This window comes from Homo sapiens, chromosome 4 (assembly GCF_000001405.40).
Source record: "Homo sapiens chromosome 4, GRCh38.p14 Primary Assembly".
NCBI classification, from domain to species: domain Eukaryota; kingdom Metazoa; phylum Chordata; class Mammalia; order Primates; family Hominidae; genus Homo; species Homo sapiens.
The window spans coordinates 147,495,577-147,521,446 of NC_000004.12; the positions used below are offsets into that span (position 1 = coordinate 147,495,577).

Genomic DNA, 25,870 nt, shown 5'->3' on the forward strand with positions numbered 1-25,870 from the left:
ATAAAAAATAAATAAACTGAGAGGAAAGATTGAGTTATTTGATGGACTGATTGCCTCGACACCTCTGCTCAGAGAAATGCATTTTGCCAAACGAATGGCTCATCTAGTTATCACTTGAAAGGCTAGGCAATTTGTCTGTGGACAGGATACAGAAGAATGAATGTCTATGGCTAGCCCATAGTTTCAGCTGGGTTAGAAACATCAGGCTTGACTGATAAAGCTAGAGGTTGCTTTTCTAGACTTTTCTCCTTGGGGGTTTACCAGATGCACAGGAGTTAAAAGGAGGATGTGGAAGCATAACAGATGACATTTGTGGATATGTCTAAACTGATCATTAAAAAGATGCCAGCAATCCTCAATTTTTAAAGATTTGCATATAAAACGTACCTTTTGTGAAACCTTTCCATTAAATCTAATGCATAAGGAACTTCATTATTAATTCCTAATTTTAAAAGCAACAAATAAAGGAAACATTATTGAACATTTTTTCAATGTCCAAAATATTGCTTATCAAAATATGAAAGGTAATGGATACACGTTTCTTAACAAAATATTGAATAACACATTACACTGCATCCCACGTAAGTTTTATGCCACAAAAGTAATTCTGCAGAATGTCTGTACAAAAAAAAATCTCTAACTACTGTGAACTTTTAGTTTGAAAGAAGATTTAAATTTCAGTTTTCACCAAATAGAAATATCTAGAATACAGCAAAGTTTCTCTTTTAAAATGGTGTCATTGATGTCATAAGTATGGGTATTTCTCTGCATATTTTCATTGTTTCCACAAATTTTACTTGCTTAAAGAAGTGAAATCTATGAAAATTAGGGTTATGTTATATCATTTAACAGTCATAATACTTTTTAAACTTTTAAATATGTTATTGAAATGTAGCATACACATAGAATAATGTGCCTAAGCATTGGCTCTGTTAATTTTCACAAAATGAACACATGTGTAACCAGGATCAACAAAGAGAGCATTATCAGCACCCTGAAGTCTCCTAGTCACTATCCTAACCCCTAAGCCACTCACTTTCCTGACTTCTAACAGCATGAATTTGCTTGCCTGTTTTTGTGTTTCTAGCATATGGAATCCTATGATGCCTGTAGGTATTGTTTTGTGTCTGGCTTGTCTTACTCAACATTATGTTTGTGAGAGTCATCCATATTGTTGCATTCAGTTGTAGTTCAGTCATTCTCATTATTGTATAGCACTTCACTGTGTGAATATCGCACTTTCTCAATTCTACTAAAGATGGGCATTATTAAGTAGTTTCTAGTTTTGGGCTATTTTGAATAGTGCAGCTGTGGACATTCTCCTATGCATCTTTTTGGTGCATATATATGTTGAATATGTAAGTATATAGATATAAAAACCTATAGCTGTGTACATAATGATATCTGTCATATTTATGTATCAACATAGATAGCTGCATACTAAGTATATCTAAATATATACTTCTTATTTAATTTTTCTTGATCATAACCTTTTATATTTTACTATTCAGTAATGTTGGAGAATTACACTAGGTTAAGGTACAGAATTAAGAACTAGGCAATAGAATTCTTCTTTTTTTTTTTTTTTTTTTTTTTTTTGTTTAGAGATGGGGTCTTGCTTTATTGCCCAGGCTGGTTTCAAACTCCTGGCTTCAAGTAATCCTCTCATCTCAGCCTCCCAAATTGCTGGGATTACAGGCATGAGCCACCATGCCTGGCCCAGAATTCTTTTCTAATTCTAAAAGCTTTAAGTCTTGTGTGGCCTGTGTATGAATTTGGTCCATGATAATTATTTGCCTTTCAAGAAAATCTGTTATCTGCCTTCATAATGGATAATTCCCAGATCAACTCACACATTGACTAAGTACCTGTAGAAAACACAGAGGAATCTAGGCTAGCCGTGCCTTCAAGTTGCTGACGTTCTATTTGAGGATACAAGCAAATAGCCAATAAAGTTAGCCTGGATACCAGCGGAGTTTTATACTCAAGTATTTTCTTGGACTTTTTTTTTTTGAGATGGAGTCTCGCTCTGTCGCCCAGGCTGGAGTGCAGTGGCGCGATCTTGGCTCACTACAAGCTCCGCCTCCCAGGTTCACACCATTCTCCTGCCTCAGCCTCCCGAGTAGCTGGGACTACAGGTGCCCGCCACCAAGCCTGGCTAATTTATTTGTATTTTTAGTAGAGACGAGGTTTCACCGTGTTAGCCAGGACGGTCTGCATCTCCTGACCTCGTGATCCGCCCACCTCGGCCTCCAAAGTGCTGGGATTACAGGCCTGAGCCACCGCGCCCAGCCTCTCTCGGACTTTTTGAGACCAAAGAACACAAAGATACTATTTTTAATGTGAAATACCTCTAAAAATGTTCATTGAAAGTAGAAAGATTGGCATCTTAATACAAGATTGCCAGGGTAGGGATGGTTGTCATAGAAATTTACCAAATTGGAACACATGAAGACAGAGCTAAAAGAAAAATTTATCTTAATATCATCAGCAAAATTTGCATTTGCAACATCCCAAAAAGAAATTTTATTTATGAAAACCCACTGACCACATATGAAATGGAATCATCTTACAATGTAAACACTCCCAGGAAGTCATTCAGAACTCTGTGAAATGTCTGAGCACTGCATTTTTGCAATCTCATGAATAAGAGTTTAAATGTGAGTCATTGACACTTTTCCTGCTTTTTGTTCTGGGGAAATAGCTTCACGGTAATATTTTCATTAATTGTATGGAGTGACTTCAGAATCATCTCCAGCTCCTGTACCATCATAAAGGAAGTCAACCCAGAGGGAGTGGTATGCACTAAGGTGACCGTCCAGAGCCCACTTTCAAGCACTGCTGCTTGCTCCTGCTTGATTCGCTCACCCAGGGCCCAGCAAACTACAGCTAGTGAGCCAAATCTGGCCCACCACCTGTTTTTGTAAATGAAGTTTTATTGGAACACAGCCATACCTATTGCTTACGTATTTTCTATGGCAGCTTTTGAGTAGTTTCAACAGACACCATATGGCCCAGAAAGCCTAAAATATTTACTATCTGGCCATTTATGGAAAAAGTTTGTCAAGCCTGGTGGCATCTCACCAACTGCCCTGCCCCTTCCTCTCATCCCTGGCTCTCATCTACCTCCATTTGGACCCACAGGCAGTCAAAGCCCAAGATCTGAACTTCAGAAATGTGAATAAGGCTTCATAACCTTTTTCTCTTTTTAATAGAGATGGGGTTTCACTGTTTCCCAGGCTTATCTTGAACTCTTAAACTCAAGCAATTCTCTTACCTCAACCTTCCAAAATACTGGGATTACAGGCATGAGCCACTGCGACCAGACACTTCATAACCTTTGATATTTTTAAGTGCCTAATGCCTTAACCCCAAGAAGTAAATGGGCATAATCTCAAGAAATCAAAATATGTTTTATTTTTTAAAATGGTTTGTCACTGATCTTGAATAAATCACTTGACCTCCCAAGTCATTCTTTTTCTTTTTCTTCTTTTTTCGAGAAAGGGCCTCACTCTACCACCCAGTCTGGAGTTCAGCGGCATAACCACAGCTCCCTGCTGCCTTAAGCTCCTGAGCCCAAGCAATCCTCCCACCTAAGCCTCCCAAGTGGCTGGGACTACAGGCACATGCCACCATGCCCATCTAATTTTTTGAATTTTTGTAAAGATGGGGTCTCATTATGTTGCCCAGGCTGGTCTCAAATTTTTGGACTCAAGTGATCCTCCTTCCTCTGCTTCACAAAGTGCTGGGATTGTAGGTGTGAGCCACCATGCCCAGCCTGAAGTCATTATTTTGTATTTGAAAAAAATAAATAATGAAGGGACCATTTCATGGTATCCCACTAGGCATAATGACATAAAGTAGGCTTATTCCTAAGCTGACAGCCAAATCAGTTACAACAACCAAGATCTATTGTCTCTTCGTTGTCTCGATTTATGTTAGTAAACATCAGAACTTTGGTCTCATGAGAGGTCTTGGCAACCACAATTCACATGTTTTCTAATCAAAATTAAACAATTTTTAAACTCTTTGTCACACACTTAGAAATATTCAATACATCGTCCTTTGGGTAATTAAAAGCAGCACTAAGCCAGGTGGCTAGATTTTTGGGTAGCCATTTATGTTTCAGTTAAGAAAAAGAAAAAGGAAAAGGAGATGATGAAGATTTTTCATTTATTTTAGAGAAATTTCATATGAAAATATAGTTACTCTCTAAAAGTCTTTTTTTTTTTTTTTTTTTTTTTTTGAGACGGAGTCTCACTCTGTCATCCAGGCTGGAGTGCAGTAATGCAATCTTGGCTTGCTGCAAACTCCGCCTCCCGAGTTCAAGCGATTCTCCTACCTCAGCCTCCTGAGTAGCAGGGATTACAGGTGCCCACCACCACACCCAGCTAATCTTTGTATTTTTAGTAGAGATGGGGTTTCACCGTGTTGGCCAGGCTGATCTCGAACTCCTGATCTCAGGTGGTCTGCCCGCCTCAGCCTCCCAAAGTGCTGGGATTACGAGTGTGAGCCACCACACCTAGCCTCTAAAAGTCTTAAAGATAAAGCTTTACATACTTGAAGTTACTCAGTCAGAAAATCACAACACTTTATATTTCTTTGGAAGGACCAATTGAATTACAAGATCATAACTAAAAACAGATGAATTTTCTTACCTCTATGCTGTAAAAATCAGGGACTATTTCTTTAATAATGGACAGAAAGGCCATGTCTTAGACAAAGGGGAAAGTGGGGGATAAGATAAGAAATATCTCATGTTCCATTTTTTAACATTAGGTGTATGTGTGTATGCATACATGTTATTTTTTGTGACACAGATGTTCTCTGTTTACATTAGATTTTTCCAAACTGTTAGCAGTCAGGTGCGGTGATTCACACCTGTAATCCCAGCACATTGGGAGGCCAAGGCCAGAGGCTCATTTGAGCCCATAAGTTCGAGACTAGCCAGAGTAACATGATGAAACCCCATTGCTACAAAAAATACAAAAATTGGCTGAGTGTGGTGGCACATGCCTGCAGTCCCAGCTACTGGAAGGCTGAAGTGGGAGAATCACTTGAGCCCAGGTCGAGGCTTCTGAGCCATGATTGCTCCCACTGCACTCCAGCTTGGAAGGAAAAAAAAATGTTGGGAGGAAAGGACAGGGGAGCTACAGGGGATGGAGGTAAAAAAAAAAAAAAAGCAGAGTTGGGTAGTGGAGACCCATCCTTAGGGCTCAACCATGTCATTCTGCCAGCACCCAGGTGACATTTCATATATTTGAGGAAGAAAGGGAGGGAGCATGGACTCTCAAAATGTGAGGAGTCAAAATATGTAGTTCCAACTATGTGAAAGCAGCTTGAAGAACCAGAGCATTGACCTATTCGTGATTTTTGCAGAGGCACTCATTTGGATTGGCCCTCCAAACAGGCTGGTGTAAGAGCCTCTCAGTATCTACACCAAAGCCCATCTCTCTTGTGGTTTTGAAATTCTTTACTTGTTTGCAGTAGCTCCAGTGAACCCTCATGAAGTGATAAACATTTAGTTTATTTGTGGAAATGGCCCAGAAGAAAAAGCTGGTATTAGAACCGAAGATGTCTAATGAAGTATATTTTTCTTAGCCAGAAATTTTGGATAAATGAATGAGTGGAGAAAAGTAAGTGCCTGAGGGCTCAATATTTGTCCTTCAATTACTTTTTAGGTTGTGATTCTTGGTACATGCCATATTCTGTTCAGACTACCTCTTCTCTACTAAAAACATGCCTGTGCAGGGGCAGTTCCCACACTAGTAGGAGGTACAGTCTCACACATTTATGCCTTTGTATAAATTAGAGAAAATCCTAATGTTTCATGTTTTGAATAGGGAATATATTCAAATGGATCAAAAATCAAGAAAGTAGAAAAAGGTACACATTGAGAAGTCTTCCTCTTAGACCAGTCCTGATCACCAAATTTCCCCACTCCCACCCTCTATAGCGAATCACCTTTAAAAGATTCTTCTGTATCTTTCCAGTGTTTCTTCATGCAAATATAAGAAAATCCAAATATATATTTCTGTTCTCTCCCCTGTTTATTATACAATGTTCTGTACATTGCTTTTTTCAATTGACAGTACATCCTGGAGATCTCTGAATATCAATATATGAAAAGCTGCCTCATTTTTTAAATAGTTTCATAGTATCCCATTGTGGGAGAGTGCCATAGGTTATATAATCAATTGTTCCAATCTTTTGTTTTTGCAGACTATGCTACAATTGTAACCATATGCATGTCATGTTTATATCTGTGGGTACACCTATATGACAAATTCCCACACATAGGATTCCTGTGCCATAGGTCAAGTGTCTGTATTACTTTGATATAAATTGCCAAATTGTCCTCCATAATAATTGTGCTGTCTTGCACTCTCATTAGCAACGTAGGAGTTCCTATTTCCCCATTGCCTAAACATATTTTTAGATTAGGCATTTCTCTTTCCTTTGGATTATCTTAAATAGAAAATGTCAGGGAGGAAGTCTTTTTTTGTTCCTATATGCTAAGATTGCCTATAAAAAAATGGTGAAAAAATAGGAAACTAATTTTGGAAACGTATTGGGTCACTGAATCAAATGCCCAGTGATAATTTAATGTGTCATTTACTCTTGCAAAAGTATACATTTTTACCCATAATGAAGAGGACACTAATTCAAGAAAGTATCATAGAAAATTAGATATTTTTTCTACTCTGAAGCAATCACTGATTGTCAGTGGATTCTATACACTAAATTATTTCAGAATTCATACACCTGAAAATTGTCAAATATATAAACTCTAATTATTAAATTATTGATATTTAGAAGAAGGATTTGTGAAGCATTTGTGCCAGTTTTTCCCTGTCATTTATATATCAAAAAAGTACTCATAATGGAACCAAATTATTTCCATCTTCAACTTGAACAGCTTTTTGATATTTCAGGTTGAAACCAAGATAAGCCTGTGCATTGAGTCTGAAGAATTGTACTTTTTCCAAATATTACAGTTTTGAAAACTAATTTATGAATTGAAGTAGCTAAGTTCCATCCAGTTTCCAACTCCCATTTTTTGACACAGATCAGAATGAAAAACCTAGAAGCCAATATCCAAACTTTACTCCAGACCTTTCCACTGTTCAGGCAGTAGTTGAGGACTGAGACAGACGTTCTGAATGACAACTTTACGGTGACAACTGACTGTTAATGTCATGTGATAACATGTCTGTAGCTTTTTTGGAAATAATCTAGGATGATAGAATGGGAGGTATCTCTTCAAAAATATGTATTTAGCCTAATTGCTGAAATACTTTATATTTTTAGGACTGATATGACTGCTTTTTTTCATTTATTTAGTTTATAACTTCATGTAGTATGAATTCAGCCTGAAATTGACATTTAAATTTTGTACCTAAATTCGTAGGTTTAGTTTTTTTAAGAAAACAATGGCTTTCCAGTAAATAAAATAATATTTTTACATTTTCTTTTGTTCAGCCTTGAGTTTGTTTTGAGAGCTTTAGTTTGGATAAAAAAGAGAAATGTCATTTTAAAATTTGGGAGAATTGTAAAACACCATTATATTTTTTCAGATACGTTTTAAAATTTATTTTGTACAAAATATTTATAGATATGAGGCTTCACTTTGTTGAATTCATCATACACACACACTTCTTTTTAGCAGAAATTAATAGAAAGCCAATTCTAAATTAATGTAGGTAATACATAATCTACTCAACTGGATGAATACCTTGGTTGCAAGTCTTGTCCTGAGCGAGCTAAGTGACAACACTCTCAATCTACTGAGCTTCCAGCATCTAGGCAGAGCTCCCAGGACAAGCAGAAGTCACAGGGAACAGGAAGCAGGAAAGAGCAGGAAAAGATCCTTTAGTTCCCATGTGTAGAAACAAATGCTCAGCTGCCTCTGTATTGAACCATACTGATGCCTGCCACTATATTGTTCATTGTAGATAGAAATCATTATAAGTTGCAGTCGATTAGAAATTGCAACCACCTCTTTCAAAAAAGTGATTACCAAAATTTTGAAAGGAAGAGAAATACAGATTGTAATTTTTTGCTATACCAGCAAAGAAAATTAAATATTAAAAATATTATAAAGATGCTTCTGACAAGCTATGTGACCTTCAGAGTTTCGTCGTCAAAACACAGTATTAATCTAGATCAGCGTTTCTCCAAATTTTTGTTCTCAGCACCCCTTTATACTCGGAAAAATCATTGAGGACACCAAATTTTTCTTCATGTATGTTATATTGATGGATATTTATGATGTTACAAGTTAAAACTGATCATTTTATAAAAAATATTTATTAATTTTCATGAACATAACCCCATTAAATGTTAACATAAATGATATATTTTTATGAAAAAAATTATATTTTCCAAAACAAAAAAATTATTTAGTGCGAAAAAATGGCATTGTTTTACATTTTTACAAATCTGTTTATTTAACGTCTGGCTTAATAGAAGACAGCTAAAACTCATATCAGCTTCTGCAATCTGTTGTACTATGTTGTTTTGGTTGAAGCATATGAAAAAACTCTAGCCTCACAAAAAAAAATGTCGTTTAAAAAAGGATGAGGATTTTCATCGTCTTTTCAGATAATTGCGAATATTCTTTGATACGACATCAAAACTCTCCCATTGGCAGTTCTGTAAAGATTAGTTGCAATGTGTAAAGTGAAACCATATTAATGAACTTTTCAGACACTACTACATTAAAATATGTTGTCTCTCTTGTACTTTGCATAGATCGTTTACATAAGCATGGTTTTGCAACATCAGATATTGGCCGTTACGAATTACTAGTTTACCAATTATAAGGATCTTCTCAATGTTGCCTTATTTAATTACATAATATCAAAAAACTACATTCGTTAATATCACCACCAATCCTTTGTCACGTGGAATATTAAAAAGACATGTACCTAAGCTCAAGATATATTAAAAATTTGTAATTTCTCTGCTGCTTCAACAGGGATATCTTAAGGGAAACTCATGAAACATGATCCATAAGGAAAAAAAATTGGACCTTATCAAAATCAAAAACTTTTACTCTGCAAAAGACCCTGTTAAGAGGATGAAAAGACAACAGCCGGGTGCGGTGGTTCACGCCTGTAATCCCAGCACTTTGGGAGGCCAAGGCAGGCAGATTACTTTGAGCTCAGGAGTTAAGGACCAGCCTGGGCAACATGGCAAATCTCCATCTCTACAAAAAAAAATACAAAAGTTAGCCAGGCATGGTGGCATGCACCTGTGGTCCCAGCTACTCTGGAGGCTGAGGCTGTAGAATCACTTAAACCTGGGAGGCAGAGGTTGCAGTGAGCCGAGATTGCACCACTGCATACCAGCCTGGGCAACAAAGTGGGACCCTGTCTCAAAAAAAAAAAAAAAAAAAAGGATTCATATCTAGAATATACAGAGAATTCTCAAAACTCAATGGTAAAAAAAATGAATAATCCAAATAGAAAATGGACAAAAGACATGTACAGAAATTTTACTGAAGGGTATATGCAGATGACAGATAGGCACATGAAAAGATGTTCAATATCATTAGCCATTAGGGAAATGCAAGTCAAACCGCAGTGAGATATCACTACACCCTATCTGAATGGCTAAAATGTAAAAAAAAAAAAAAGAGAGAGAGAGAGAGAGACAACATCTAATTCTGTCATGGATGAAGAGAAACTGCTGGTGGAAACGGAATGTAGAGCCACTCTGTAAGAGAGTTTGGCAGTTTCTTTTTTCATTTTTTTTTTTTTTTTTTTTTTTTTTTTGGAGGTGGAGTTGCGCTCTTGTTGCCCAGGCTGGAGTGCAATGGCATGATCTAAGCTCACTGCAACCTCCGCCTCCCAGGTTCAAGCAAGTCTCTCCTGCCTCAGCCTCCTGAGTAACTAGGATTGCAGGTGTGCAACACCATGCCCAGCTAATTTTTGTATTTTTAGTAGAGACGGGGTTTCACCATGTTGGTTAGGCTGGTCTCGAACCCCAGGCCTCAGGCGATCCACCCACCTCAGCCTCCCATAGTGCTGTGATTACAGGCGTAAGCCACCCTGCCCCGCCGGCAGTTTTTTTTTTTTTTTTTTTTTAGACAGAGTCTCAGTCTGTTGCCCAGACTGGAGTGCAGTGGCGCCATCTCGGCTCACTGCAAGCTCCGCCTCCTGGGTTCACGTCATTCTCCTGCCTCAGCCTCCCGAGTAGCTGGGACCACAGGTGCCCGCCACCATGCCCAGCTAATTTTTTGCATTCTTAGTAGAGACGGGGTTTCACCGTGTCAGCCAGGATGGTCTCAATCTCCTGACCAGGAGATCCGCCCGCCTTGGCCTCCCAAAGTGCTAGGATTACAGGCGTGAGTGACCGCGCCCGGCCGGCAGTTTCTTATAAAACTAAATATGCAATTACCATAAGACCCAGCAGTTGCACTCTTGAGCATGTATCCCAGAGAAGTGAAAATTTTGTTCATGCAAAAACCTGTACATTGCTCTTTCCCTGGGTTCCCAGTATCCTGGCAGGTTCCTGAATATTTGTCACAGCAATGAGCTAAAGCCCCTGGAAGAGGTGAAGTTGGGAAACTGTGGATTGCCAAGACTCAAGGAAGGACTGAGGTGTCATTTACTTTGAATGAAGATCTTGCAAATATTCATGATATTGGCCGAAAAGCAGCTTCAGTCAGTGCTCATAAAGAACATCCATTTGTCTTGCAAAATATTGGAGGCCATATATGAACAATATTTACTGAGAGCTCATCAGATAAGCTGTCTTCGGAAGGAATAGTGGTACAAAGAACTGAATGCCAACAGACTGCCAGTGAAAAGTACATGAGATTAAAAAGATTGCAAATAGAGGAATCTTCCAAACCTGTAAGGCTATCACAACAACTGGACAAAGTTGTAACAGCCAGTTTTGAACCTGTTGCTAATCAATACAATACTGAATGTGAAAGGAAAGAGAAAACAGATGGAAAATAAGCTCCAGCTAATAAACAACACGTTTCAGACATGCTATTTTCAGCCTTTAGAAATATCAATATTATCATCTTAAGGACTTGGTGGACATCACAAAACAACCTGTGGTATACCTGAGGGAACTCTTAAATTGGTCTTCAGAATGTAAAAGAGATCCACAAAAACACGTGGGAGCTGAAACCAGAGTACAGACATCACCAAGGAGAAGAAATGAGTGATTAAGATGGCTCCTAGCCAGCATGTTAGTGAAACAACAGTGATGCTAAGCAAAACGCATTGATACTGGAAGGCTTGAACACCGTATGTTAATGGGGGCTAAGTGGCAATACTTTCCTTTCTCTCGGTAAATTTTCTAAACCTATAACTGTTGTAAAGTTTCTTCAGTGTTTTTTGAGGAGAAAGAACAAATTTATTTATAGACTTAACTTGTATTAAACCAGGCTATTCACAATGGGAATAAGGGTTGGAGGATTAAGAGGATTTCTCTTAAATATTAGCTTTTAGCATGTAAAATTAGGAAATGGTTTTTAAATGAGGACTCTCTGCCCTTGCTGTATCTCTGAGGAGCTGAGGTAGTACAGAATCAAAGAGAATAATATAGCAAGAAAAAAACAGTCAACTACAGAAATTCTTAAAAGGAATAAAAAGCCAAAGTTCCTTATTTTGAGGGGGGAAAAAAAAAAACCCTGTACATTAACACTCACAGTAGTTTCACCTGTAATAGCCAAACCCTGAAGACAACTCAGATGTTCTTCAATGTGAGTGGTCAAACCAACCATGGTACATCCATACCAGAGACTACTACTCAGCATGAAAGGAAACAAGTCACTGTTACACACAACCATCTGGGTGAATCTCCGGAGAACCGTGCTAAGTGAAAAAAAGTCAATCTCAAAAGATTGCATACTATATTACTCCATTTATATAACATTCTTGAAATGATAGAGTTATAGAGATGGATAACAGATTAATGGTTGCCAGGGGTTGGGAATGGGAAGGGGAGAGAAGGGAAATATGGGTAGAAGAGGACATCAAAAGGGATCCTTGCGGTGATAAACCTGTTCTGTATCTTGACTGGTGATAAATACACAAACCTACACATGTTACTCAATTGCATAGAGCTAAATGCACACAAATTAGTATATGTGAAACTGGGGAAATAAAATAATATTGGTAGATTATATCAACATCAAAAAAATTGTGCCATTTCACATTCCCACCAGCTTTATATGAAGGTTTTAATTTCTCCACATCCTCACCCCAACACTTATTATTGTCAGTCTTTTTCATTACAGCCATTCTAATAGTGTATAGTGGTATCCCGTGGTGGTTTTAACTAGCATTTCCTTAATGGCTAAGGATGTTGAGCATTTTCTATGTCCTTACCTACTTATGTATCTGCTTTGGTGAAATGTTCACTTAAATCTTTGCACATTTTTAATTAAGTATTTATTTTATTTTAGTTATAGGAGTTCTTTATAGATTCTAGACAGAAGTCCTTCATCAGATGTATGATTTGCAAATATTTTTCCCAGTTAGCGGATTTGTTTTTATTTTCTTCATGTCTTTTGAAGAGCAAAAATTCTTTATTTTATTTATTTATTTTTTTGTTTGAAATGGAGTCTCGCTCTGTCACCCAGGCTGAAGTGCAGTGGGGCAATCTCCACTCACTGCAACCTCCACCTCCCGGGTTCAAGCGATTCTCATGCCTCAGCTTCCAGAGTAGCTGGGATTACGGGCATGCACCACCACGCCTGGCTAATTTTTGTATTTTTAGTAGAAACGGGGTTTCGCCATGTTGTCCAGGCTGGTCTCAAACCCCTGACCTCAGGTGATCCACCCACTTCGGCCTCCCAAAGCTCTGGGATTACAGGCATGAGCCACCATGCCCAGCCTGAAGAGCAAAAATTCTTATTTTGATCAAATCCGGTTTATCAAATTTTTCTTCTATGGATCATGCCCTAGTGTCCTATCTGTGAAATTTTTGCCTAACCCAAGATCACAAAGAATTTCTCCTATGTTTTCTTTGAACAGTTTTAGAGGCTTAGCTCTTACATTCAGTTCTGTAATCTTTTCTGGCTAAATTTTTGTGTATGATATGAGGCAGGCATCTAAGTTATTTTTTTGCATATGGATACTCAGTTTTTCAACACCATTCTTTGAAGACTATTCTCATTGAATTGCCTTGGACCTTTATTAAAACTCAATTGACAATAAATATAAGAGCTTGTATCTGGACTTTCTTTCTGGTCCAGTGACCTGTGTTCTATTGTTATGCCAATACCATCCTGTCTTAATTACTGGAGCTTTATATTAATAGTAAGTTTTTAAATAAGTACTATAAGTTCTCCTACTTTGCATTTTGTCAGAATTGTTTTGGCTATTCTAGATCCCTTATATTTTTATGTAAATTTTAAGATGAATTTGTTAGTTTCCTTGGATTTGGATAGGAATTGCATTGACCCTTTAGGTGAATTTGGGGAGAATTGCCATCTTAATAATATCAATTCTTCTTTTGTTATATGTATTCTCAACTATTTTATTCTTTTTTGGTACAGTTTTGAATGGAATTTTTCTTTAATTTTTTTAGATTTTTCATGGCTAGTATGCAGAAATGCAGTTGTTTTCTGCATATTGATCTTGGATCCTATGACTTTGTTCAAGTTCTATTCCTTTTGCAGCATCAGCTTTCTTCCTGCGAATGTGTGATGGTGAAGAGTACAATGACCTTTAGGTAGTTTGGTGCCACGGTCGTGATTCATGCGAAAGCACCAGCAGTTTACCTACCATTGCTTTTGTACTAACAGTGCAAATGTCAACCAGTGAAAAAAGGCAGTAATCTCTGAGTGTTATTTTGATTTTGCAGACCTCAAGGAAGGTTCCCAGGGTTCCCCAGTGGTCTGCATACAACACTGAGAGAACCAGTGATCTAGATCAGGGGTCCTCAACCCCCAGGCTGCAGACTAGTACCAGTTCATGGCCTGTTAGGAATCAGCCACACAGCAGGAGGTGAGTGGCAGGCAAGCAGTGAAGCTTCCTCTGTATTTACAGCTGCTCCCCATCACTCGCATTACCTCATGAGCTTTGCCTCCTGTCAGATCAGCAGCAGCATCAGATTCTCAAAGGAGTATGAACCCTTTTGTGAACTGCACACACAAGGGATCTAGATTGTGCATTCCTTATGAGAATCTAACGCCTAATGATCTGTCACTGTCTCCCATTAACCCTAGATGGGACCATCTAGTTGCAGGAAAACAAGCTGAGGGCTCCCACTGATTTTACATTATGGTGAGTTGTATAATTATTTTATTATATATTGCAATGTAATCATAATAGAAATAAAGTGCACAATAAATGTAATATGCTTGAGTCATCCCAAAACCATCCTGCCCCCGCTGCCAGGTCCATGTAAAAATTGTCTTCCACAAAACGAGTCCCTGGTACCAAAAAGGTTGGGGACCGCTGATCTAGATGGTCTCTAAGCTCCCATCCAAGTGTAAAATGCTATAATTTTTAAAACCTAAGATGAACAGTGTTGATCAGATTTGACTTTACAACATTTACTTAAATGGCTGGTTTTCTTGGCAGTCAATATTTCTTAGGCAATTGCTGCATGTGGAACAATGTATCTAGTCCTTTGAGAGAGATGGAAAGGAAATAGAACACTGGTCCTAATCTCAAGAAAATGGCAAAAGAAGGCTCTCTGGGTTTGCAGGTGTCTAGGAAAGGAACCCAGTGTCACTGTAGGCTGATTGTATTAGACCTCAAATTTGTATATTTTTTGTTCTACTAAAAATAAACAAAATGCTTATAGTAGAGATACAACATATATCAAACTTCAAGACTAGAAGTAAAACTAGGTTAAAATCTATCATTCTAGGCTAGTACAACCTAATGTTATCTCATTTCCAAATGACCATAAGACATAAAGTAACATCAAACTAATTTTTACAACTTTTTCAAGTAGCTTTAATTTTACATTATTGTTTATAACAGACCCGTGGTTGGAAGCTTAAAATCTCCACTTAACTGATATTTTTTCTACATTTTATATGTAATTCAAATTATGTATACAATATGATGCTTACAGCTCACTGGGCAAATTTACTATACATTTTAGCTTTTCCTTTGAGAGTAATGAAATAGTGTTCATATATTCAAGGCAAATAAATAGTCTCAAGGCTTCAATATGTGGGATTCTCCAAGTTCTGACATCCTTAATCTTTTTAGGTAGAAAAAAAGGGACTGAAGCACTCTTTCACGGGAAGAATGAAAAGAAATTGAGAAAGCAAAATTAATCATATACAGTACAGGGAAGGGTGCAGGTTAGCTTAGAGATAAATGGAGTTAATAATAGTTTCAGATAAACTAGTTACAGACTAGAGTTCTGATATGAAAATAATGTACAATTTCAGAGCTGGTAGAGAATTCAGAGAGTATCTAGTTCTAGCCTAACATTTCTTGTTTGGCAGAGGAGGGAGCTAAATCTTCTAGATTTTTGACAGAGCTAGACTGGAAGCCAGCATTTCTAACTTCTCCTTTAGTATGTTCCATCCTTCCATCTCTGCATTCAATAGAACTTTTGTGGTTTTAATACTCTCGACACCACAAATTGCATTTCCCTAGAAGACAGCCTGGCTTCTAAAACTTTATAGTGAATTATTAAAATGTATGCCATTCTTATCTGAAGTTTCATAATATGATTAGTAAGCCAGCCATCCTGACTTTGTCTTCTATTTTGCTTAATGCCTCAATTATGAGTAATTGTGAAGTTTTATTTTCTAATGAATTTCTGTTGTTAAATATTCAAAATCACCTCAATCTTATTTACTATCAAGTCAGTGAGAGCATCAACTTTATTCTACTTTATTCTTTTTTTCCCGAAACACACATATGGTATTATTTTGCTCATGCTGCATACCATATCTTTTTTGGCTCATTTTTTCCATCTACACTCAGGATAATTGTGACCACATGACACATTTTACAATAAAGAACTTAAGTTTCTTCAGAACTTATACATTAGATCATTAAATCAGCTGCATACTTTCAAATATGCCATTTGTTTTCCCTTTTTCCTATTCATCATCACCTACATCACTGATAAGATTTTGGGATCCACTACCTAAATCTGTATGTGGGGATCTCTGCTATTCTGTTTTATCTTGTTTTGTTCTGCTTTGGTTTTGCCTGCCTGTTTCTTTTAAATAGGCACTAGCATGTCTGACCATAGAGACTGATGATTAAAATCAACTATAAAACTTTTCCATTAGGTTTTGGGACTTATTGTCTGTCCGGGTCAAAGCACCCCATTTCTATGATGGGAGCTCTGACCCAGACACACAATAAGGCCCAAAACTGTGCTTGTATGTTTTTATGACAAGATGTAGGGCTCCACTCACAACACATGGAAAATCTTTTCTCCATTCCATGAAAACCAGGGTCTTTCTTTCTAGCATGAATCTCCTCTCCATTATGAATTAAACCTTAAAGTATTGACACACACAATCAGCACAAACCTTGCAATTTCAATATTGAGGCTCTCTAATTTTTCTTCTCTAAAGTTCCATTCTTCTCTATCCAATGATCCTTTGGTCATATGCTTACAAAATAAGTAAAAGCCTCAAGTCCCTCACTTTTGGATTGGTACTCTTACAGCAAAGAGAGTTATTAAAAAGAGATATTCCTCTTGATTCCCAGGCTTCAGGTGACTGAGATTCTCAGGGGTGATAAGCCCATATCTTGGGTGAATAATCTATCCTCAAAGGAAAAAATCTTCATGGCTCTGGAACTCTGGCTTTAAAAAGTTCTCTTTCTCCTTGTTTCCTCTCATCCACCTTGTTGTTATTAACATCTATGTATTTCAGATTCTAAAAAGTGAAGACCTCAACAGAGACTGAAACACCGAATATTCAGTAGTGAAAGATGTGGTTAGTGAGTAGCAACAATTCCATCTCTTTCCATCTAAATGCAGTTTAGCAAGAAGCAGTTCCTCAGAATCCATCTCCTACGGGAACTAACATTTATGATTTGCTATAGATCAGGCCCTGCTGTAAGTGCTTTTCATGTATGAACCCATTTAATACATCAACCATATGCATGGGCACTCTCTTTATCTGCAGTTTTCCATGAGGAACAGTTAACATGTCTAAGTCACGCCAGGGGACAAAGTCACCCGAGCCTGTTCTCTTTACTGTTAGGTCACACCACCCTCTTCTTCTGTGGAGCTCCCAGGGAAGATTGCTTAGAGCTTCTTGAGAAGCTGTTATTTCTGCTTATCTTCTGGTGGGGTCTTTTGTTCTTGTGTGGCCTGCCACCACCCTGCACCTGGTGACCTGGACCATGGGTGACCATAACCATGAACCATCAATAGTTATGGCTCACACTTCCATATTCTGACTTCTGCCAAGCCCTTCCTCTGGATTCTCTCTTCGCTGGCCCACAGTAATCCTCTGTGGTAGCTACCAGAACGATCTTCATTTTATAGAAGAGAAAACTAACAGGCACAAAGGTTAACGAGCATGCCAATGTCAAAAGATCAGGAAGACAGCAGAGCTTGGGGTCAGTCTGCCCCCAAGGAATCCAGCTTCAGGGCCCACGCTCTGAGCTACTATGCCAAGCCAGCTGCCTTGATTACAAGGAGGGCTTCTCCATCCCCCCAGCTCAGGGAGGGCACCTAAGGCCAGAGTCAAAACCATTTATGGAATTTCTGCTCTACTCTGCATTTGTCATACATCCTGAATTCTTGGACTGGTCAGGAGGCAAGAAAAGCCTGTTCAAAGGAAAAAGTGTATGGATAGGGGATAGGGAGAGGCCATAGCTTTTATGACATTTGTATGAATGCTCTGTCTCAATCCTGAAGCAATTAATGCATAACAGAAGAACAAAATCTATTCTTGGTCACACACAGTGACTTATTTCGTAGTATCTGCAGTGGCCAGAGAGCACGTTCTCATAAATGGCCTGTCCTGGGCATCACAATCTTTATAATCATCTCAGTCTGTGCTGTTGGAAGATGTTTTTGTTTGCTACTGAGTCAACTATGTACCAACTTTTACATCCCAGTCCCTTCCCCAGAAAGAAAGAAAAACCTCAGAACCTCAGTTTTTAAAGCCTGATACCTGGTCAGTCATGTCCAATTCTAAGCGACCCTATAATAATTCATATTGAAGGGAAGAGAAGGTTTTCCTTGCTTTGAGGTTTGCAGCTATTACAGACTGTATTTGTAAATCCCTCATTCCTGTCTAGGACAAACAGGAGATGAAGGAGAGGAGAAGAACCCTTCGGCCTCACAGGATGGGGTGAGAGGAAAATCAGCACAAAGAAAAATATGCCACTAGTTTTATTTGTACCATTTTAAGATGCCATGACAACAACAAAAATAATGTACAAGTAATAGGATTAAGTAGCAGGGGATATTAACATCTGGAATGGATAAAGAGGCATAAGTTCGTTTATATTTTCATGGTTGTGCATAAATGGTACGTTTCAGTTTACGATTACAAATTATAGCAATTCAAAATAACGTTTGTGTGTTATATGTTCAGTTTGCAGAATTCTTTCATATGCATTAACCCATTTGAGCACCCCAAATGAGCATCATATCCTTGTGGCAGGTATGAGAACTACCCCCATTTAACAAATACAGAAACACAGACTTACAACGGGGAACTGGCTTACCCAAGGTCACACAGTTAGCAACAGGTCAATCTCGTACTTGAACCTAAATCTTATAGGTTCACAACCCATCCTGAATATAGGGGAGAACAGCCTTATTTTGTAGTGCTAAGCTGGTGAGGCCTGGGGCAGTAGAACATCTGTTATTGTACTGTGACTTTATGTGCTGATGTCTTTAGGGACTATTGTCTTTGGGTGAGAGTGTAAGGGGATGCAGGCTACATGGCCCCAACACGATTTTTTCTTTTTCTTTTTCTTTTTTGTTTTTTTGAGACGGAGTTTCACTCTCGTTGCCCAGGCTGGAATACAATGGCATGATCTCGGCTCACTGCAAACTTTGCCTCCCAGGTTCAAGTGATTCTCCTGCCTCAGCCTCCCAAGTAGCTGGGATTATAGGCGCGTGCCACCACACCTGGCTAATTCTTGTCTTTTTAGTAGAGACAGGGTTTCACCACGTTGGCCAGGCTGGTCTCGAACTCCTGGCCTCAAGTGATCAATCCACCTCACCCTCCCAAAGTGCAGGGATTACAGGTGTGAGCCACTGCACCCAGCCCAAGATTTTTTATTTCTTGTGACTATATTTTATACCTTTTTCTGCTCCTCCTGTTCCATTTGACTGTCAGCTGTCATTTTTGCTGACCATGGCACCTCTAGAGCAGTGATCCTCAAAGTATGGTTGGTGAGCCAGCAGCATCAGCATCACCTGAGAACTTGCTAGAAATGCAAATTCTCAGGCCCTGCCCCAGACCTACTGAATCAGGAACTCTGGGGATGGGGCCCAGCCATCTGTGTTTCAATGAGCCCTCCAGGTGATTCTGCAGCTGCTAAGTCTTGGGAGCTGCTGCTCCACAGCAACTATTCACAACCTTGGCTGTCCTTGGGAATCCCCTGGGACCCTTAAAGACTACTAATGCTTATGTCCCAACTCCAAAGATTCTAATTTTGTTGGTCTAGGACACAGTTTTTTAACCTCAGCACCAGTGATATTTGGGTGGGGGGATGATTATTTGTTGGGGTTGTCTGTCCTGTACATTGCAAAATGTTTAGCAGCATCCCAAGCCTCTACCCCTAGATGCGAGTAGCACACCCACCCCCAGCTGTAATAACTAAAAATATCTCAGACATTGCCAAGTGTTCCCTGTGGTGGTGGGGGGAAGGGGGATGGCAAAATTGTCCCCTGGTTGATAAGCACTGGCCTAGGGTGATGGCCAAGGCACTGGGATATGGAAGAGCTCCCAAAATCATTCTAATATACAGGCAACACTGAGAACTATGCCTCTGGAGAGTCTCTATTAATGAACAGCTCTGGATGTGCAATGGGCCAGAGCACAATAAGAGCTAAGCTTTACACCACTGGGTGTAGAGTGAGAATCAGTCCCCCTGTGGTGGAGACTCAGGCAGTTTGCTGAGGACTAACACACATGAGCTTTAGGGCATAAATTTCACAACTTTTTGGCTCCTTACATTTTTGTTTACTTTCTGGTTGTCAGGTATGTTCTAGAAAACTAATGTAAACAGATATGTTCCCCATACTTAAGAGGTCCCAACCAATGAGATCTTGCATTGCACTAAATATAGTGGTGAATGTACATCCTCCATCTGGCTCTATCCATTCTACAAACAGGGTGCATATCAGTGTATCATATGGTACAAGTTCTTCCCTAAATCTGTTTTTAATGGGTTAAAACATGCAGCTTGTCAATTCTATGATGTTGATTTTGATACAATCCAAATCAACCACACAAATGCAAAATTCCTATATTAATCTCTGCTGTTTAGAAGAGCTTTCATTTTCAGGTGGGGATCAGGGGCTTTAACTATATTTCAACTATAGAAAAATTCCCTGAGTTAGAACAAAGACATGTAAAATCCTGGCCCAGCAGATTGCCTTCTGTGTCTCCACGATTCTTTCTGTGGTGTTCTTCTGTGATCTGCTTGAGAAGAGGAGAACATGATGTACATTTAGACCATGGGATGTGCCTCACCTCCAAGGGCCTGCCCTGCAGCTCTTAGGAAGGTGGGCAGTCTCATCACAGCCCAAAGTGAGATGTCTCCAAGCAAAGAGTAAATGGCAGCCTCTCTTCAGCCTAGACTCTTAAATAGCACAGTATTCTCCCACTTCCTCAAACAACTCGATGGTAGGTTTCTTTCAACATAAAGAGTGGGAGCACTACTTTGAGACACTGATAAACAACTTTCAAATAGAAAATAAATTTCAAAGTGAATGTGTTTTCAGGGCAAAATTGGTACTGTCTCATTTCAAACTATGAAAATATGATCTGATTTAATGAGTTGGAGTCATCCATTCATCCAGCACCTACTATGTGCTAGGTACTGTGTAATGTCCTTGGAAATTATAAATATGAGGGTGGCAAATTATAAATATTAGGGTACATAGACTCTTGTAGCAAAAATAAGCTATGACTGATCTGAGGTGCCTGATTAACCCTTTGAACCAATACGACTCGTCAGCTTGTCAGACTCTTTTGGGTTTTGTTTTGTCTTGTTTTGTTTTGTTTTTTTCATTGAATTGACAGTTGCTTGTTAACATTAGTGAAATCAGTGAGTTCTTTGCCATGGTCTAGGATGTATTCTCTTAAACAGTTACTTATTTATTCCTCTCCTAGTCTATTTCATTAACATGCTTTTAAAAATCAAAACTTTTTGATTAAGCAATAGAATTGCTCTCCAGAAAATTACTCCAGGAAAAAAAGATCATAATGGAGTACTAAAAGATATTATTTCCATATGTTCCCACTTGTTTTCTTTTTGTAAAAAAAAAAAGCATATGCTTCTATGTACATAGGATGTTTTCTGGAAGAAAACACACTTAGCAATTAACAGTGGTTGCCTTTGGGCAGGGAGTTTGGGGGCCTTGACTGGAAGGGAGACTTAACTTTGCATTATATAAGCTTTTATACAGCTTAATTTTTACCATCTTATGTATTATATTTTTAATTTTAAGTGCTAGTAAATAACAGGATGCATTCCCAGTAGTCCTTCAGAAGCTCCAAGTGCTTCTGCTAAATAAGAGAAAACCAGTGAGCCCCACTGTTTGCCTCCATGAGGACTCCTGCTCCTGCTCTTGCTCCAGCAGAGCAAGCTGAAAGGACACTTTGAATGTAGGACTGCTCCAACACTGGTTCCATGGAAGAGATTAACAAGCGGGTTCTACTTGAGGTTAGATAGTTAATGAGGGCCTCTTTGAGGAAGCCACATGGAACCAGAGAGGAAAAGGAAAAGAGGGGGACGTTGCCTACAGGCAGGGACCTAATTTCCTCCTAGCAGCATTGGACACTTACTACCCATACATCCTTTCAGAATGAAGGACATACAAGTTAGGGAAGTCTACACAGTGATTACACCTAATAATTTTCTCCAATGATTTCTTTCCTTCCCCTTTATCTATAATTCCCAAGAAGAATCAATGCTCACTCCTAGGAAAAGGAAAAAGAACACCACCACCAACACCACACCTATTTGTCTCAAAGAAAGACAATTCCATGATCTTTTTTGCTTCCCACTGATTCCATGATGTCTTTCCTCTCTGTCCTTCTTTATGCCTAACCCTAACCTAATCCTAGTTAAAAGTTTAAGGAAGCATGTAAAAGGAAAAAATGTAATTGAGATTGGAAGAATCTGAGAGAATCCATGTTCATTTGTGGTTTTTCTGGATCATTTTCTTAGCACTTGCCACTGAGACCTTCACAGGATTTCAGAGTCTCCCTTATTAAGCAAGAACATCTTTTTCTTTTCTTTCATTGTTAGATGTGTGAATTGGGAAATCCATTCATGTGGATTATCAGGGTCCTCTTAATCTCCGGGAATGAACAAACAAACAATTCAACTGTTCCAGAGTATATCCCATAACCGTGCCTACACTGTTTTAATTACATATATCTGTGGTCTTTGAAGAATTATAATTCTGAGCCAGAATTCTAAATTCTTATTCTATAAAAAGTAGTTTTCAGGTTTTCTTGTTTTTATAGGGTGATTCATCTCAGAAATAGTGTTTTATGTCTTTACTTGCACCAAGCATTAATAACCAGCAGTCAGCAATGGCATAATTATTTGTCAGCTTCATGAAAACCATAAGAAATGAAGGCAGTGTTTGTGCAAAGAGTTTTGTGGTTGTCCTTGGACAAAAGTTTATGAGGAAATTTTGAGAAGACACCAATCGAGACTGTTTATAGTGAGATGAAGAAGAAACCAGAGGCACTATTGGATTAAAGAAAAAGGTTATTTTCAAAAACTATTTAGAAGAAAGGAAGTAATCACGAAAACTAAAGAGAGAAAACCTCTATAATGAAGTTTTATAGGGTCTTAGCCAAAAATCACAGAGTGAGAGACTGCCCTGTGTAACCAAGTTCTCATTCTTTATCTACGGGGTACTGGTTTCCCAAACTCTTTCAAAGGACTCGTGTTATGGATCACACTGACCATGGAATTAAACCTCACATCATCTTTTGGAAATAGTAGAAAAGAAATTCAAAGCTTAGCTTAGAGTTACTATGGCAAAAAGAACTTTTCAAAAAAAAAAGAAAAAGGAGTTTGTCAAGTTAGTAGGATACTGTTTCCTAGTGAGTTAAGTTTAAATTGAGTCACTAAGCAAAAAATTAGAAAGGAAATCAATACCATTTTCACACTTGAAAAGGCATCATATGTTCAGCAGGAACTTCCTTCCCCCTTTTAGGTAGCTGAGCTATTATTTAAGCCCATGCTCCTAGTATAATACCTAATTAGACAAATACAGAGTACTGGTAGCTATTGTTATGTGTCTGCTACCCAGCACAGCCACTAGAGGGTGTCCACTCTTGCCTTGCAAACAAGGTTGGAAATTGTCAACATGGAAGAACAGATTTTTCTGCATGTGATACCAACAGATCAAGGTAACCACATTTTTCTGTATAGTAAGGGGAAGTTTGAGCCTAAATAGAGAAAAGCCACTTACATCACATCTACTGAAGCAGAGTCAGCCCCTTAAGCACAGAGGAAAATGTAAGTTCAAAGTGGCTTTAGGTGTTAGCTAGCTGCCAAAATTAGTAGCTTCTACACCACTTTGTTTTTTTCCAGTATTCTCCCTAACCTTTCATTCTTAATTTCAGAGACAATATAATCTGCCAATTCCAGTAGTTGAAATTATTTGCTTTACTCATGGTTTAGTAAGCACAGATAAAAAACCACTGTCGGCTTCTCAGTTGAGCTGTCTCCCAAAATCCCAAACTTTTACTACTGTTTGAAAAGTAGGCAGCGTGACTAGTTGATGTGAGATCAAAGGCACATCTCTTCTGTTATTAAATTGTATTATATAACTATAATATATTTAATATATATGTATTATATTAATACACTATATTGATTTTTATGTATTAAATATATATCACAATATATTCATGTTACTACATATTAATAATAATAAATTATATCTGTATATCTTTCCAGACTAAAAATTGCTGAGGCTTTAAAATACGAAAGAAAAAAATAACAATTCTAATACTCTTTTGCTACAGTGCTAACTGAAAAGCACTGTGAATAAAATTTAGAAGTTGGGACGCATAACTAAAACTGTAAGTGCCCACATGCTCCGTGCCAGCTCTACCATTTCTTACCACTGTGTCTCCTTCTTTCAGCTGCTGGCTGGGCGCTGGCCTTTTGATCACAATGACTTTGGCGTATTTCTTTGCAAGCTGTTCCCCTTTTTGCAGAAGTCCTCGGTGGGGATCACCGTCCTCAACCTCTGCGCTCTTAGTGTTGACAGGTAATGTGGTTCTTTCCCTTTGCTCTTTGGCTGGGCTTAGAAAAGCATTTTTCTCAAAAAGAAGAAAAGTCAAGAGAATTCGTGCCCAGGACAGCTGTTGATTAGCTTCAAGTGAATTAAAGCATTAACCATCTTGCCTTTGCTGTTTAGAATTGCCTTCCACATTTGCTGATTATTAGCCATCTTTGGCTCAGACAATTATGTACCTAGAGCATTTTATCAAGAATACCCATTTGACGCCCTTTTGGCAATAAAGTGAAAATTAACATATTAGATGGAATAAACTTTGTGAAAAGGAGATTCCAGGATATGCAAATCCTATATTTCACCTGGTAAATTTATCATAAAAAAAGATACTGTTCAATTATATCTGTAATGTTTAATTAATTGAGTGAGAGGTAAGTGCACCATATTGCTATGTTCTTCACCCTGCCTTTTTGAAAGACTGAAATGTTTCATAAGTTTTAAAAAGAGTGCAACACCAGAAGCATCCCTTTATCCAATTCTGAAAACTCCATCAAATGTCCCGAAGTCTTTCCAGAATCCGCACGCATGATTGTTAAGCGTTCTCTAAAGAAGCCCTTCTGAATTCTGTGAACTTCTAGATGGTATTTTCTTTACCTTCTGGTTTTCATAGCAGCAATTATAAGAATGAAATTAGGAACTTTATAACACATTCTGTGGCACTCTTTTATATTTACTATAATCTCACACAAGTGGTGTATAATGGCCTATTTAATTAGCCTACATACAATTTAGAAGAGGTTTTCATTCTAACTCATTCCCTGACAATCACTTTATCAGGGAACCTGAGTCTCATCATTATAGAAATAAAAGGCTCACTCTTCTAAAGAACATTAAAGAGTTTACAGATATTCTGTTATTTTACATTTATAATTATTGTTAGGACAAAAATTGTTACTGTTAAAACATAAAAATGTGCATTCAATCAGCAATTAGAAAATTAGAATGGTATCCTTGTTATAAATTTATGTCAGCTGGGCACGGTGGCTCACACCTGTAATCCTAGCACTTTAGGAGGCCAAGATGGGCTGACTTCTTGAGCCCAGGAGTTTGAAACTAGTCTGAGTAACATAGGAAAACCCCATCTCTACCAAAAATACAAAAAATTAGCTGGACATGGTGATGCATGCCTGTAGTCCCAGCTATTCAGGAGGCTAAGGTGGGAGAATCACCTGAGCCCAGGAATAAATAAATAAATAAATGGCTATAACTGTGAAACACAAAATAAAAATGTTATTAAAAATAAAACACAAAAAATAATTTCATTAGTAATTTAAAACACAATCATACCATTGACAAAAATGTTCCCATTGCAATGGTAAACACAAAGATCAGAAATAACCTTATCATCTATTAATAATACCCTTCAGTGATTTGTAGGAAAGTCTAGGGTCTCTTTGGGTTACATCTACATTATATTAGATGTTAAAGGCTGCTGCATAAA

General features: G+C 38.2%; 1 protein-coding gene and 1 pseudogene across 6 annotated transcripts in view; both read left to right on the forward strand.

Moving 5' to 3' along the window:
* EDNRA (endothelin receptor type A) overlaps nt 1-25,870 on the forward strand; it is a 63,858-nt gene that overhangs the window by 14,480 nt on the left and 23,508 nt on the right. For 5 of the 6 annotated variants that reach the window (NR_045958.2, NR_148963.2, NR_148964.2 and 2 more), the window contains one exon: nt 24,275-24,402. The exons of the other annotated variant lie outside the window; for it this stretch is intronic. Coding sequence is in view for 2 of the 5 variants with exons in the window: in NM_001957.4 (NP_001948.1) it covers nt 24,275-24,402 (128 nt within the window). In the remaining 3 variants the exon portion in view is untranslated. The remainder of the gene's footprint in view (nt 1-24,274; nt 24,403-25,870) is intronic. 6 annotated transcript variants of the gene reach the window in all.
* On the forward strand, nt 10,513-11,651 carry GTF2F2P1 (general transcription factor IIF subunit 2 pseudogene 1; annotated as a pseudogene).